General features: G+C 65.5%; 1 protein-coding gene across 2 annotated transcripts in view, besides 3 other annotated features; it reads left to right on the plus strand.

Annotated features, from left to right (window-relative positions):
• Positions 1-12,610, plus strand: part of KIF26A (kinesin family member 26A) — a 42,308-nt gene extending 29,698 nt beyond the window's left edge. For both annotated transcript variants that reach the window (NM_015656.2, XM_011536641.3), the window contains 10 exons: positions 3,439-3,651; positions 4,291-4,384; positions 4,693-4,955; positions 5,046-5,229; positions 5,422-5,584; positions 5,864-6,026; positions 6,698-9,614; positions 10,266-10,471; positions 10,952-11,102; positions 11,325-12,610. In NM_015656.2, the coding sequence (NP_056471.1) occupies positions 3,439-3,651; positions 4,291-4,384; positions 4,693-4,955; positions 5,046-5,229; positions 5,422-5,584; positions 5,864-6,026; positions 6,698-9,614; positions 10,266-10,471; positions 10,952-11,102; positions 11,325-11,506 (4,536 nt within the window). In that variant the 3' untranslated portion in view covers positions 11,507-12,610. The remainder of the gene's footprint in view (positions 1-3,438; positions 3,652-4,290; positions 4,385-4,692; positions 4,956-5,045; positions 5,230-5,421; positions 5,585-5,863; positions 6,027-6,697; positions 9,615-10,265; positions 10,472-10,951; positions 11,103-11,324) is intronic.
• Positions 566-1,278: an enhancer, noted in NCBI's record as "H3K27ac-H3K4me1 hESC enhancer chr14:104635187-104635899 (GRCh37/hg19 assembly coordinates)". NCBI's record gives its function as "activates a minimal SCP1, AML or CMV promoter by ChIP-STARR-seq in primed H9 embryonic stem cells {active_cell/tissue: H9 hESC(primed)}" and the evidence as "EXISTENCE:reporter gene assay evidence [ECO:0000049][PMID:30033119]".
• Positions 3,420-4,133: an enhancer, noted in NCBI's record as "H3K27ac-H3K4me1 hESC enhancer chr14:104638041-104638754 (GRCh37/hg19 assembly coordinates)". NCBI's record gives its function as "activates a minimal SCP1, AML or CMV promoter by ChIP-STARR-seq in naive H9 embryonic stem cells {active_cell/tissue: H9 hESC(naive)}" and the evidence as "EXISTENCE:reporter gene assay evidence [ECO:0000049][PMID:30033119]".
• Positions 10,912-11,446: an enhancer, noted in NCBI's record as "H3K27ac-H3K4me1 hESC enhancer chr14:104645533-104646067 (GRCh37/hg19 assembly coordinates)". NCBI's record gives its function as "activates a minimal SCP1, AML or CMV promoter by ChIP-STARR-seq in primed H9 embryonic stem cells {active_cell/tissue: H9 hESC(primed)}" and the evidence as "EXISTENCE:reporter gene assay evidence [ECO:0000049][PMID:30033119]".
• Positions 12,611-13,761: the final 1,151 nt, after the last annotated feature.

The following is a 13,761-nucleotide window of genomic DNA, read 5'->3' on the forward strand; positions in this document are numbered from 1 at the left end:
GGGCTGTGCCCCCTGCCCGCCCGGTGATGTAGCGAGCATTGTACTTGCAGCCCCTGGAACGCTAATTTCGTGACTTGAGCCCTCCAACCTCTCCAGGGCAGCCCTGGCCTGAATTGACGGTGGCTACTGGTCTGGGGCAGTGGTGGGTCCCTAGGGAGGGCCGCCGTGGGGCATAGGGGCTCTGGGGCGGCCTGTGGGGCAGACCTGACAGCTCTTACCATCTTCATAGGCCATGGCGGGTCCGGGTGGGGGCATCAGGCAGTTGGCACCTTGGAGCTGCATGGGTGTCCAGAGGGGAGTGTGTGGTGAGACCACCAGGAGCCTCCCGATCTCCCTGACTCTGGGTCTCCACCCCGAGCACCCCACCAGTTGCCAGGGTTTGAATGGATCGCTTGTCCCTCTGGGCACTGGTTTCCGTTTGTGGTAAGGAGGGCTTGGCGGGCATCTGGCATCTCTGTCCTCCGGAGGCGACATTCTGCATCCAAGGCCCGGGGGCAGGGGAAGCTGTGTGGCCTGGATCAGGGACTTGTCATTGCTCCGCTGGGGTTGGGGCAAGGCCCCTGCCTGGGGTGAGGCGGGGGTGGTGGGTGAAGCAGAGTTGGGGGACTAGGCCGGGGGTCACTGCCTCCCTGGAAATCTCTTTGCCTAGCACTGCTGGGGGTCTGCGGGGAACAAGGGGGCTCCTGATCTCTGTGCGTGTGCCCGGCACGGGCTGTTTCTCCACAGTCCCCTGGGATGCGAGGCCAGTGGCATCAGCCTGTGTTTTGGGCCCAGGCCTGGCTGGCTGGGGCACCCTGGGTCCTCCCCACCCTCAACAGTCTCCTTGAGACAGGGCAGGTGGGTGCTGGGGCCAGGCTGCCGCTGCCCTGGCCACGTGGGCTGCAGAGCTGTGCCGAGAGCTCAGGAGGACGCCGAGGTCAGGTGTGGGCGGTGGTGGGCAGGCAGCATCCAGGTTCCCCGCCCAGCCTGGGATCGGGGCCCTGGCTCTGGCCTGGGCCTGGCACTCAGCCTGTTTGTGCCATCCAGTTGGGGCGGGGGGCAGAGGAGTCAGCAGCTCCTTCAGGAGCCCGCAACACTTTTCCCAGCGCCCCGCGTTTCTTAGGGGACAGCTTCTGCCCCACTTCCTCCTGGGGGCAGCCTTGGCCGGGCTTCTCCCTTCTCTCCATGGCAGTCACACCCCCACCCTGCTCCGGAGTGCTCAGTGCTTCCCCAGCAACAAGGAGCCCTGGGTCACCAGCCTTCCAGCCCCTCCACCCTGCACACCCCCCAGCTCCCCGGGTGTTATTAGCACTAATGTCACATAGTCAGAAATGCCGCCTGAAAGGCGTTTAATATTGTCACAGAAAAGAAGTTAGATTACGTTCAATTTCTGACATTAATGTGCTACTTAAGATAATTCATCACAGTGTGGTATAAAAAAGACATCCCTGTCTGGGTGGGTGCTGAGCAGCGCCCTTCCCCCTCCCTGCCTGGGCTACCTCTTCAGAGCTGGAAGCCCTTTTTTAATGCAAAATGTGTTTTTTCTCTCCCAGGCAGCTATTCCGTGGGGCTTTGTAATATCTGAACATTTAGGGGAGAGGCTTGCTGTGCCTTTTCCTGCAAAGACCCTGTCATTTCCCTGCAGTAATGACAGGGTTCTCTTTCGGCAGACAATGGCCTGCGCTGGGACCAGGGCAGTGTGGGGCAGGCTAGATGGGCGGTGCCCCCACTGTGGGCTGCTCCATCCCCTCCCTGGGGAGGCCCACACCCCCCTTCCTCCTGGTTGTGAGCCCGCTCTGCGATTAATGCCGCTGGTGGAAAGGGTGGCCGGCAGACGTAGAGAGCCAAACCGTGAGCCTCTCCACGCCACTCCTTCCCGCTAGGAAGTCTCTCAAATCTGCAGAGCCCATTTGGCTCCTGAAGTGGTGAGGAGTTCACACTGGAAAAAAAATTGCCAAAAATTACCGGGAAGTGCACGTTTTCGTCTGCTTTGTGGTGGCGTCTGGAAATGAAATAGTTTTGATCACGTCGTCGGGGGAATAAAAGAATCGATTCTTGCCTAATGGAGCCCAGGTTCTGAGTAGTACAATAGAAAAGTGTTTCTTCATGCTGCTCCCCGGAGAGCGGGCACTCCCGACTCCAGCGGCTTGCATATCAATGTGCCCCATGCCCAGGGGGAGTAGGTGCCGCCTGGTGCGAACTACCCATGGTAAACCAATTTTGCCGGCGTTATGTATCTGTCACTTACAATTAAATCCGTGAAAAATATTGGCTCTGAAATGAGTCTCGGGTAATTTGATTTACGCTGTAGTGGAGAAATCAGAGATTTCAGCGCAGAGTGGACTGTGGTGTCCTCCAGCAGGAAATGGGGCCTGTCTCTGGCTCTGCGTTGGAGCCCTGGTTCAGGGTGGCCCTCGTGTGCGCAGCCTCTGCCGGGTCAGAGCCGCCGCCTCCTGGCATCGACGCACCAGACCCACCTGTGTGGGGTGTCCCTGCTGTGGATGGGTTTCGGAGTGTTTGCAGTGATTGCTCTGGGCTCCGGCATCCTGGGTCCTGCCCCTCCCCGGCGTCTGCCCCCTCTCAGGGTACTGGGGCTGGTGTCAGGGTCTTCCCGAGTCCGGTGCCTGTATGTGGCCCAGTTTGAGATCTGTGTGTGTGCTTTGGAGACGCCATTGCTTCTGCCCAGCACCAGGGCTGCCTGGTTCCCTGCTGGCTCGGGAGGTCAGTCTGGAAGCCCAACCCACCCTCAGCCTGCCCCCCAGCCTCAGTCTCCCCAAGCCTGCAGTGGGGCCGGTGAGGCCGAGGCGTCAGAATTTGTATCTTCCCCTGGATGGGATCCTTCTTATCTTGCCCGTCCCCGTTTGCATTCGAATGGGCTTCCCCCTGCTTTCTGCTGACTCTAGTCCGGCAGGCCACAGGGTGCCAGGGTTCGGTTCCCTCAGCTGGCCAGGGTCGGAGGCAGCCATGCCCCTGGATGGCTCCCCTGACAGCGCCAGCCCTCTGCGGCTCTCACACCTCTGTGGGGCAGTTCATTCCCTTATCTTGCAAGTGCTCCCCCTCAGCCTGGGGAGCAGCCTGCGAGGGCTGGGCCAGGGGGCCATGCTCCTCCCTCCTGCCCTCTCCTGGACTGAGCTGCTCTGCAGGACCTGAGCGGCTGTCCTCTTCTCACGGAGGCGCCCGGAGCCCGCCGCCCCCTCATTCTCTGTGCCGCACATTCGGTGCTGACAGGCTGTGCACCGGCCTTGCCTCTCCCTGGCCCTCACCTTCTCCCTGCTCTGCTGACCTCATATGGGATCTGCTCTCGCCTGGAGCAGGGGCGCGGTGTCCACATTCCTGCGGTGGGGGTGCCAGTGTGAGGCCTGGCCCGCTGTCCCCACCTGAGCTGGGCCCCTCCTGCCCTGTAATTAGTGGCCGGCTGGGCGGAGGCAGCTTCTCAGGTGCCGCCCACCTCTGCCCCAGGTGAAGGTTATGCTGCGGATCTGGCCCGCACAGGGGGCCCAGCGCTCGGCCGAGGCCATGTCCTTCCTGAAGGTGGACCCTCGGAAGAAGCAGGTGATCCTCTACGATCCCGCCGCCGGTCCCCCAGGCAGCGCAGGCCCCCGGCGAGCCGCCACTGCTGCAGTTCCCAAGATGTTTGCCTTCGATGCCGTCTTCCCCCAGGACTCCGAGCAGGTACGGGCAGGCGGACTGGGCGTCCTCCCGGAGACCCGGAGCCGGGCTGCTGGCTCAGCACATGGGTCCGATCTGCGCCCGCTTCTCCGTGCAGGGCGCAGAGGAAGCGTGAGCGAGGGGCCCGCTGCCTGCGGCGCCTGCCTGCTTACCTCCCTCATCGTCCTGGCCAGCGTCCTTGGGTGTCTCCATCCGCCCCTGCCGAGGCTCTGGGCCAAGTCCACAGGGAAAGGCCTGGTTTTCCGGAGCCCGCCCTCCCGGGAAGCTTTCCGAGCAGCTGTTGGGCTCTGGGCTCTGGGGGCGCCCGGTGCTCCCTGCCCATGCTGAGCCGTGCACCGTGTGGCTGCGTGTGCGTCTCTCTGCGCGTGGTGGTCTGCCCCTGCGCCCGGCGGCTGGACTTCTGGGCTTTGCGGGTGTGTGTCTGCACGTGTCTGGCCAGTCCCTCCTACGTGTGTCCTGGGTCCTGTTCATGTGTGTTCTGTGCTTTCCGTGTGCACATGGGATCTGTCCTTGGTCCCAGGTGTGCAGCCCAATCTCCTTGTGGGTCGACTGCCTGCATGTGCCAGGACAGACCGGCCTCAGGCCCACAGACGTGGCAGAAGGAAGGGGCCACAGCCCTGCCTGATTCTCTTGCCCCCCTAGGCCGAAGTCTGCTCGGGGACCGTGGCCGACGTGCTCCAGTCGGTGGTCAGTGGGGCTGATGGCTGCATTTTTTCCTTTGGCCACATGAGCCTGGGTAAGCACCCTTGCCCCACCCTAGATGGGTCCTGCTGGCCACCCCCTCCCATCCTCATCACGGTGGTTGCTGGCAGCTTCTGATGGGAAAGGAGGCTGGTCCTACACATGGGCCGTGGTGGGCATATGGGGTGAGGGGCTTGTGGAGAGGAAGCTGAACCCCTGCCGAACTGAAAGGCAGAGGGCTTAGGATGGATCCAAAGAGGCCCCTGAGATCTCGGTGCCCCTGGTTGGCCCCCGGGGACGCCAGTAGCCATAAAGGCTCCTTGCGTGGTGTGTGGTGGGGCCTGACGCCTGCGTGGCCCCCAGGCAAGTCGTACACCATGATCGGGAAGGACAGCTCACCCCAGAGCCTGGGCATCGTGCCCTGCGCCATCTCCTGGCTCTTCAGGCTCATCGAGGAGCGCAGGGAGAGGACGGGCACCCGCTTCTCCGTCCGGGTCTCAGCCGTGGAGGTGTGCGGGCGCGACCAGAGCCTGCGGGACCTGCTGGCCGAGGTGGCCCCTGGCAGCCTCCAGGACACCCAGTCTCCGGGAGTGTACCTGCGGGAGGACCCCGTGTGTGGGGCGCAGGTGCGCCTGCCTACTGTCCCACCTTGGGGGAGGGGGGCTGCACTTGGCCCTGAGCCACTGAAGACGCCGCTGCCTCTGCCTTTCCTGCAGCTCCAGAACCAAAGCGAGCTGCGGGCACCCACGGCCGAGAAGGCGGCTTTCTACCTGGATGCGGCCCTGGCGGCCCGCAGCACCAGCCGAGCGGGCTGTGGCGAGGACGCCCGACGCAGCTCCCACATGTTGTTCACGCTGCACGTCTACCAGTACCGCATGGAGAAGTGCGGCCGGGGAGGAAGTAGGTGCCACACCCGCACTCCCGGGCCCCTGTGGGATGCGTGTCAGCAGAGACCCAGGCACAGGGGCCTGTCATCCAGTGGCTCCTGGGGATGTCCCTGGGGTTGTCCCCAGCTTGGGCCTGGGGTGGGGATGTGGAGCAGGATCTGGGGGCCCCTGGCTACACCATCATTTGCTTGCCTTGTGGTTCCAGTGTCCGGAGGCCGCAGCCGCCTGCACCTCATCGACCTGGGCAGCTGTGAGGCGGCGGCTGGCAGGGCCGGGGAGGCTGCTGGGGGTCCCCTGTGTCTGTCCCTGTCGGCCCTGGGCAGCGTCATCTTGGCCCTGGTCAACGGAGCCAAGCATGTGCCGTATCGGTGAGTGTAGGGCCTGGGCAGGTGCCGACCAGGGTGGCCCCTTGGTGACCTGGTAAATCCGTGTCTGGTGTGCCCGGTGCTGCTGTGGCCCCCAGCTCCTCAGGGCTTTGCTCCTCCACCACCTGACAGGCCTCGCTGCCCGTGGGCTGCCTGGGGCCCCACGCTGGGCTGGTGCCGGAGCTGGGTGGGAACCAGACTGATCCCAGGGCTGCCCTTGGCCAGCCTGTCCCCGAAGCTCCCTTCCCAAGGCCTTGGCATCTGAACCGCCTCGACCCGCAGGGACCACAGGCTCACCATGCTGCTGCGTGAATCCCTGGCCACCGCTGGCTGCCGCACCACCATGATCGCCCACGTGTCGGATGCGCCAGCCCAGCACGCAGAGACACTCAGCACCGTGCAGCTCGCCGCCCGCATCCACCGCCTGCGCAGGAAGAAGGCCAAGGTGCTCCCCACCTCCTGCCCGCCCCATCTCGGGGCCGTCTCGGCTCCTGTGTCCACTGCAGGCCTCTGCTGGCCTGGTTGGGGTGGGGGTCAGCAGGTGGCCTGGAGCCTGGGTAGATGTCCTATGTGTTCTGATGTCATGAGGCTATGCCCATGTGGCCCTCCCTGGGGGGTGGGGAGCCCAGCCTGAGGTCCCTGGCTGCAGTGGGCAGAATCGGGGCTTGCTGTATGTGGCTTGTGGTGGCCTCACTCCAGCCTGCTGCCCCCGCACAGGCCCTGGGGTGCTCAGGAGAGCCGCACCACCTCTGCAGGGGCTTCCTAGGGACCCCTCTCTGGGGCTGGAGGGTGGAGTTTGGGGCACTCTGGGGTTACACGGCCCTTGGTGTGAGTCCTGGCCACTGGCCTGGGCACACATGCTTGTCTTTTGAGCTTCCCGTTCCCTCCCAGCGCGGGGTGACACCGTTTTCCTTGTAAAGTTGCTAAGAATGGTCACTTAAGTTCTTCCCCTGAGACTCAGTTCCGCTCCCAGCGTTTGGTGGGACATGGTTGGTGGTGCCTGCTGTAGTTTTCATCACAGTGACCGCAGCATTGGCCCTGTGCTCTGGGGAGGGTCGGGGAAGCGGGGGCGTGTAGGGGAGACTGGGCTCGGCAGCTCCACTTTTCTTCCCCCAGTACGCCTCCAGCTCCTCTGGCGGGGAGAGCTCCTGTGAGGAAGGCCGGGCCCGTCGGCCCCCGCACCTGCGGCCCTTCCACCCACGCACTGTGGCCCTGGACCCCGACCGCACGCCTCCCTGCCTGCCCGGTGACCCCGATTACTCCTCCAGCAGCGAGCAGTCCTGTGACACGGTCATCTACGTGGGGCCCGGTGGGGCGGCGCTGTCAGACCGGGAGCTCACCGACAACGAAGGTCCGCCTGACTTCGTGCCCATCATCCCTGCCCTGAGCCGCCACCGGCCCTCCAAGGGTCCCCGAGACGCAGACCACTTCCGCTGCAGCACCTTCGCGGAGCTGCAGGAGCGGCTGGAATGCATGGACGGCAACGAGGGTCCCTCAGGAGGTCCAGGTGGCACCGACGGAGCTCAGGCCAGCCCCGCCCGAGGGGGCCGGAAGCCCTCGCCACCAGAGGCTGCATCCCCCAGGAAGGCCGTGGGCACCCCGATGGCTGCCAGCACCCCTCGAGGCAGTTCTGGTCCAGACACCCACCAGGGTACCCCTGAGCCCTGCAAGGCCATTGTCTGGGGTGACCAGAGAGAGGACAGCAGCGCTTGGCCTGAGCTGCTGGTCCCGGAAAAGGCTGCAGTGAGTGGAGGCAGGAGGCCACTGCCCAGCCCGGCTCCCCCACCTCCTCAGTTGCTGGAAGCCTGCAGAGCCCCAGAAGAGCCTGGGGGAGGGGGCACTGATGGAGTGGCACGGACCCCTCCCGTGGGCATGAGTGGGCAGGTGGCTGGGTCCCCGATGCTTCCTGGGGCCACCTGCCCCCGCCTGGCTGCTGGCAGTCGCTGTCCGGAGCGGGGCCTGCTCACCACCACAGTGACCCTGCAGCGGCCAGTGGAGCTCAACGGCGAGGACGAGCTGGTGTTCACGGTGGTGGAGGAGCTGTCCCTGGGGGCGCTTGCCGGAGCTGGGCGGCCCACCAGCCTGGCTAGCTTCGACAGTGACTGCTCCCTGCGGGCCCTGGCCTCGGGGTCCCGGCCAGTCAGCATCATCAGCAGCATCAATGATGAGTTTGACGCCTACACCTCTCAGGCCCCTGAGGGGGGGCCCCTGGAGGGGGCAGCCTGGGCCGGCAGCAGTCACGGCTCCTCCATCAGCTCCTGGCTCAGCGAGGTCAGCGTCTGCACTGCCGACAGCCGTGACCCCACGCCGCAGCCCCGCTTCAGCCCCGACTCGCTGGCAGGGCTTGACCCTGGGGGCCCCCCTGCCCTGGATGGTTCCCTGGGGGATGGAAGCTCTGGGTTCCTGGGGCCAGACAGACCTGACAGTCCTGGGCCAACCTGGGGTCCGTGCCCTGGGGAAGTGGCTGCAGTGGCCCCATCCCGACCCGGCAGGGAGCCCCAGGCCGGGCCCTCGCGGTGGGCATCCGCAGCCCAGACCATCCACTCCAGCCTCCCCCGGAAACCGAGGACTGCCTCTGCCACCACCCGTGTGGGCTGTGCTCGCCTGGGCCAGAGCCCACCTGGCCGTGGAGGCCTGTTTGAGGACCCATGGCTGCTCCGGGTAGGGGAGTGTGATACCCAGGCAGCTTCTGCTGGCAGGGCCCCCAGCCCCACACTTGGCTCCCCCCGGCTGCCTGAGGCCCAGGTGATGCTAGCCTGTGCCCAGAGAGTGGTGGACGGGTGTGAGGTGGCAGCCAGGGCGGCCCGCAGGCCAGAGGCTGTGGCTCGGATCCCACCGCTGCGGAGGGGTGCCACCACGCTGGGTGTGACAACGCCAGCTGTGTCCTGGGGAGATGCTCCCACGGAGGTGGTGGCCTGCTCGGGGAGCCTGAAGGCCTCCCCCACCAGCAAGAAGGGTCTGGCTCCCAAGGCGGGCTTCCTCCCGAGGCCCAGTGGGGCGGCCCCCCCGGCCCCACCCACGCGGAAGTCCAGCCTGGAGCAGAGGAGCAGCCCGGCCTCGGCCCCTCCGCATGCTGTGAACCCGGCGCGGGTCGGGGCTGCTGCTGTCCTTCGAGGGGAGGAGGAGCCCAGACCCAGCAGCCGGGCTGACCACTCTGTCCCCAGGGCCACGTCCAGCCTGAAGGCCCGGGCCAGCAAGGTAGAAGCAGCACACCGTCTTGCCGGACACGCGTCTCTGGAGCGGTACGAAGGCCTGGCGCACAGCAGCAGCAAGGGCCGGGAAGCCCCTGGGCGGCCTCCCCGGGCTGTACCCAAGCTGGGTGTGCCACCCTCCAGCCCCACACACGGTCCAGCTCCCGCCTGTAGGAGCGGCGCAGCCAAGGCTGTGGGGGCCCCCAAGCCCCCTGTTGGTGGAGGCAAGGGCCGTGGCCTAGTGGCTGGTGGGTCGCGGGCTCTGGGGCCTTCGGTGAAGCTGTCTACGGCCTCTGTGACGGGCAGGAGCCCTGGCGGCCCTGTGGCCGGTCCCAGAGCAGCCCCACGGGCCGGGCCCAGTGTCGGGGCGAAGGCTGGCCGGGGTACCGTCATGGGCACAAAGCAGGCGCTCCGGGCTGCTCACAGCCGCGTCCATGAGCTGTCAGCCAGTGGAGCCCCGGGCCGAGGTGGCTCCTCGTGGGGCTCGGCGGACTCAGACAGCGGCCATGACAGCGGCGTGAACGTGGGGGAGGAGCGGCCACCCACGGGCCCGGCCCTGCCCTCCCCCTACAGCAAGGTGACCGCCCCACGGCGGCCCCAGCGCTACAGCAGCGGCCATGGCAGCGACAACAGCAGCGTGCTGAGTGGAGAGCTGCCGCCCGCCATGGGCCGCACCGCCCTTTTCCACCACAGCGGTGGCAGCAGTGGCTATGAGAGCCTGCGGCGCGACAGCGAGGCCACCGGCAGCGCCTCCTCCGCCCCTGACTCCATGAGCGAGAGTGGGGCTGCCTCCCCAGGCGCCCGCACCCGCAGCCTCAAGTCCCCCAAGAAGAGGGCCACAGGTGGGTGCAGAGGTGCACAGCCCTCTACAGTTTACGGGCTTTCTGTGTGTAGATGTGCACAGCCCTCTACAGTTTACAGGGCCAGGAGATGCTGGACAGATGGGCACAGCCTTCAAGGTCCCAGACCCACACAGCCGTGGACGGTTTACAGACTCGCCTGGGGCTTTTTGTGTGTGGAGGTGCACGGCCCTCTGCAGTTTATAAACCCCCTGTACTTGCCCTTCTCTGGCCCCACCCTGCCCTGGGGGGCTGATCCTGGTCTGTGTCTGGGTGAGCACAAGGGCAGCCCTGCACAGGTCGCCAGGCTGGGGCACTGGACTCGGGTTTGGGTCCCGGGCCTCGTGCCTCCCTGGCGAGTGTCGAGCTGCCTGGAAGGCCCCCGCCAGGGCTGCCCCAAGGGACAGAACTGCTCAGGTCATGGCAGGGAAAGTGGGAGGCCCTGGTGGTGGTGGGGGCGCCCTTGAGAGCTGTGGGCCTGGCTTGGGGTCGGCTTCCTCCCTGCCCTGGGCAGAGCGCCAGCCTGAGGATTCCTGGACTGGATCCCGAAGGCCTCCCTGTCAGGACTCGGGCCGGCTCCGCAGCGTCCCCGCAGGGGCTGTGCTTGGGCTGGGCCCCGCCTCTGTTCACCCTGTGCCCGGCTCTCCGTTCCAGGTCTGCAGCGGCGGCGCCTGATTCCCGCCCCACTGCCCGACACCACTGCCCTGGGCCGTAAGCCCAGCCTCCCCGGGCAGTGGGTGGACCTGCCCCCGCCCCTGGCTGGCTCCCTGAAGGAGCCGTTCGAGATCAAGGTGTACGAGATCGATGACGTGGAGCGCCTTCAGCGGCCCCGCCCCACCCCGAGGGAGGCCCCCACCCAGGTAGGGCCTTTGGTGGGCTGGGGTCTATGACCCCTGGTGGGGAGCCTGCCGCGGATGGCAGAGTGAGCCATTTGATGGGCTCGCCAGGCCTCTGGGGGTGTGGCTGGGCAGCCCCTGACCTCACTTTCTGTCCACGTTCCTCCCAGGACGCAAAGGTAGGAGCGGCCCTGCCCAGCCCAAGCCTGTTGCAGCTCCGACACTCCCCTTGGGCAGTGGGTGGGTGGCTGGGGGGTCCTGAGGCCACTGCTGCTGTCCGCTGGAATTCTCCCCTGTCGTGGGGAGGGTGGTCCTAGAGCCGAGCCAGGACCCAGACGGGCATGGGTGGGCTGCCCCAGGTCCGCCCCCTGCCCGCCCTTGGAGCCCCACTGTGTGCCTGCCAAGGCCTGGCAGGTGAAGGGAGGCGGGGGCCACATCAGGGCTGCTTGGGGGTCTCTGGGGAGAGGGTCCCATGCCTGAGCCCCCGCCCGCCCTGCCTCCCAGGGTCTGGCGTGCGTCAGTACAAGGCTGCGGCTGGCGGAGCGCAGGCAGCAGCGGCTGCGGGAGGTGCAGGCCAAGCACAAGCACCTGTGTGAGGAGCTGGCCGAGACCCAGGGCCGGCTGATGCTGGAGCCTGGCCGCTGGCTGGAGCAGTGTGAGTCCCGCCCGCCCACGGACCCAGCCCGGCCCACCGTGTGCCCTGACAGCTGCCCTCCCCTCCCAGAGCCCTGTTGCTCTCCTGTACCTCGTGGTGGGAAGGCTGGAAGGCAGGGTCGGCCGGGCCAAGATGCCTTTCCTGGGGCCTCTGGGGGGCCAGGTGGCTGCCCCCAGCCTCGGGCCTGACGCAGGTGCCCCTCCCCTCTCCTCCCCTCCCCAGTTGAGGTGGACCCGGAGCTGGAGCCCGAGTCGGCCGAGTACCTGGCGGCCCTGGAGCGAGCCACGGCGGCCCTGGAGCAGTGCGTGAACCTGTGCAAGGCGCACGTCATGATGGTCACCTGCTTCGACATCAGCGTTGCAGCCAGTGCTGCCATCCCGGGGCCGCAGGAGGTGGACGTCTGAGGCTGGGCGCCGGACAAGAGGAGGGGGCGTGCAGCGGGCTGGAGGACGGGACGTGGGACGGAGCGAGGATGTGGTGGGGGCTGCGGGGGGAGGATGCGGAGGGGTTTCTGTGCAGGACGGGAGTCTCAGAGAGGAGACGGAGTGTGGGGGAGGGAGGGCCGGCCACGCGGTGGACAGAGCGAGGGTGCCAGGGTGACCAGAAGACCGTCACCACCCGACAGCAACGCAAGTGCCTTTGACCTTGATTTGGACTTTTCTCCCTTTTGCATTTGGTGCTACAGACTTGAGACACCAGCAGAAGTTGTGTTCAGCCCGGCCCCGCTGCGCCTGTCCGGGCCGGGGCTGGCGCCGGTTGTGTTTGTGTCCACCTTGCCTTCTTTGCAGCCAAGCAGTTTTTGTGGAGTGGAGTGGGACTTACCTGCACGCCCCAGGGGTCTTTCAGGATTCAGGATGACTTTTCTTTTACAATGGTTTCCTCTCGGCAGAGCCCGGGTTGTGGGGGATCTGTGTGGGGTTCTCAACGCAGATCCATCCTGGGGTCTCCCGGGCAGGGATGGCTGACCTCGAGTCCCCTCCCTTCCCGAGAACCCGCTCTGTCCCGAGGGCAGCTAACAAGGGCTGAGCCCCAGGTACAGGTTGCCTCTTCCACGGCAGGAATTTTTACCAAAACCACAAGCAAAAAACAAAACAGACCACCACGACCAACAACAAAGATGGGGGGTAGGGTTTTGTAAAGGTTCTGTTAGGTTCATATTTTTATATCATTTTGCCCATAAATGCGGAATTTGCCGTGGGAATTTGAAGACAAATGATCTATGTTTTTATGGTTTTCTAGGGAAGGTGTTCTGGGGGCCGGGCTCTCTCCAGCTGTGGGAGGCCTGCTCCCTCTGGGGGGCACCCTGGGCAGGGTGGGGGGGCCTTGGGAGGCGCTTCTTGCCAAATGCAGACGAGGGGTGAGCCTGCCAGCGTTTGCGACGTCCCCGCACGACAGGCTCATACTTTCTGAGGATCGTGCATAGCATAGGACGTCTGAACCTTTGTACAAATGTGTAGATGACATCTTGCTACAGCTTTTATTTGTGAATTAAAGATGCATCGATGGTTCCCACGGCTGCCGAGTTCACTGGGCGTCGGCAGACTCCTCACGCCCTGGTGTGCCGCCCTCTGAGGGTCCCTGGGGTGACGGGCAGTAAGCGTGGGAAGGACACATCCACGGGGACCCAGGGCTTCGGGTGCTGTGCCAGGGCCTGCCTTGCAGCCCCTGTGGGGCCCACGGTGCCATGAGGGCCCTTCAGAGAAGGTGGAACACGACAGAGCTGGGATTCAAGCCCACGCTTCCTTTCTGATCTGCTTTCTTGTTGACTCTGCTGAGATCTTAGGGTCCCGAGGCTGGGGCAGGGAGCCAGGCTTGGGGGCTGGGCTGGCGGGAAACAGCCCTGTGTAAGCGGCCCCTGGCTCCCTTGTCTCTGGGTTATGCTGTGTGGGGAAGTCGAGGCAGGAGTGATGGCAGCATTTCCCTCCCAGAGTCTTCTTGCCATCCTCTGCCCTCTGCCTACCTTTGCTCATGGGCTCAGGACCCCCGAACCACAAGAGCCCCCTCCCGGGGCAGCCTGGATGGAGGCTCTTCCCTGGAGGACTCAGGCCTGGGTCTGTCTTGACCCCAGTTTGCTGGGCTTTCCCGTGGTCAGAGGCCCCAGACCCTTTGGGGGATCCCCAGCCCTTTGACTGCTGTGAGCTCATGGCCTCACCTGACCTGTACATGTGCCCTCTGGGGCCACCTTAGCTGTTGCTCTGGTTGCCTCCTGGCCTCTTCGGAGTCCTATCTGCTTCTCATTTGGTAGGTCCCCAGCGGAACTAGTTTGCTTCCTTAAGCCTGTTACTCTGTCCCCATGCCAGTACCCCCCGCCTGCCTGGCCTGCGAAGGTTGTGTCTGGGCACCTGCCCCTTTCTGCGGCTTTGCACTGGCTTCCAGCTGCTCCACTCCACCTTCAACCCGAGGTCCTGGCCATGAGGCCCCACCATCCCCCGTGCTGTGATCCCCTGCCCAGAGGCTGGCTGTGCAGCCCCTCCCTCCCTTGGGGACTCCCCCTGTCCCCGGCTAGGTGCCCCTCCCTGGCTCCAGGCGGGGGATGGTGGGGCCCCTCCTTGGTGGAGGCTCCTAGGCCTCTCTGCCATGGCACGTCACACCTTGTGCGGTCTCTGCCTGTCTCCCGGCCTGGCGGGGTCTGAGTCATCACCTTCCCCGATCCTGGGCA

This window comes from Homo sapiens, chromosome 14, assembly GCF_000001405.40.
Source record: "Homo sapiens chromosome 14, GRCh38.p14 Primary Assembly".
NCBI classification, from domain to species: domain Eukaryota; kingdom Metazoa; phylum Chordata; class Mammalia; order Primates; family Hominidae; genus Homo; species Homo sapiens.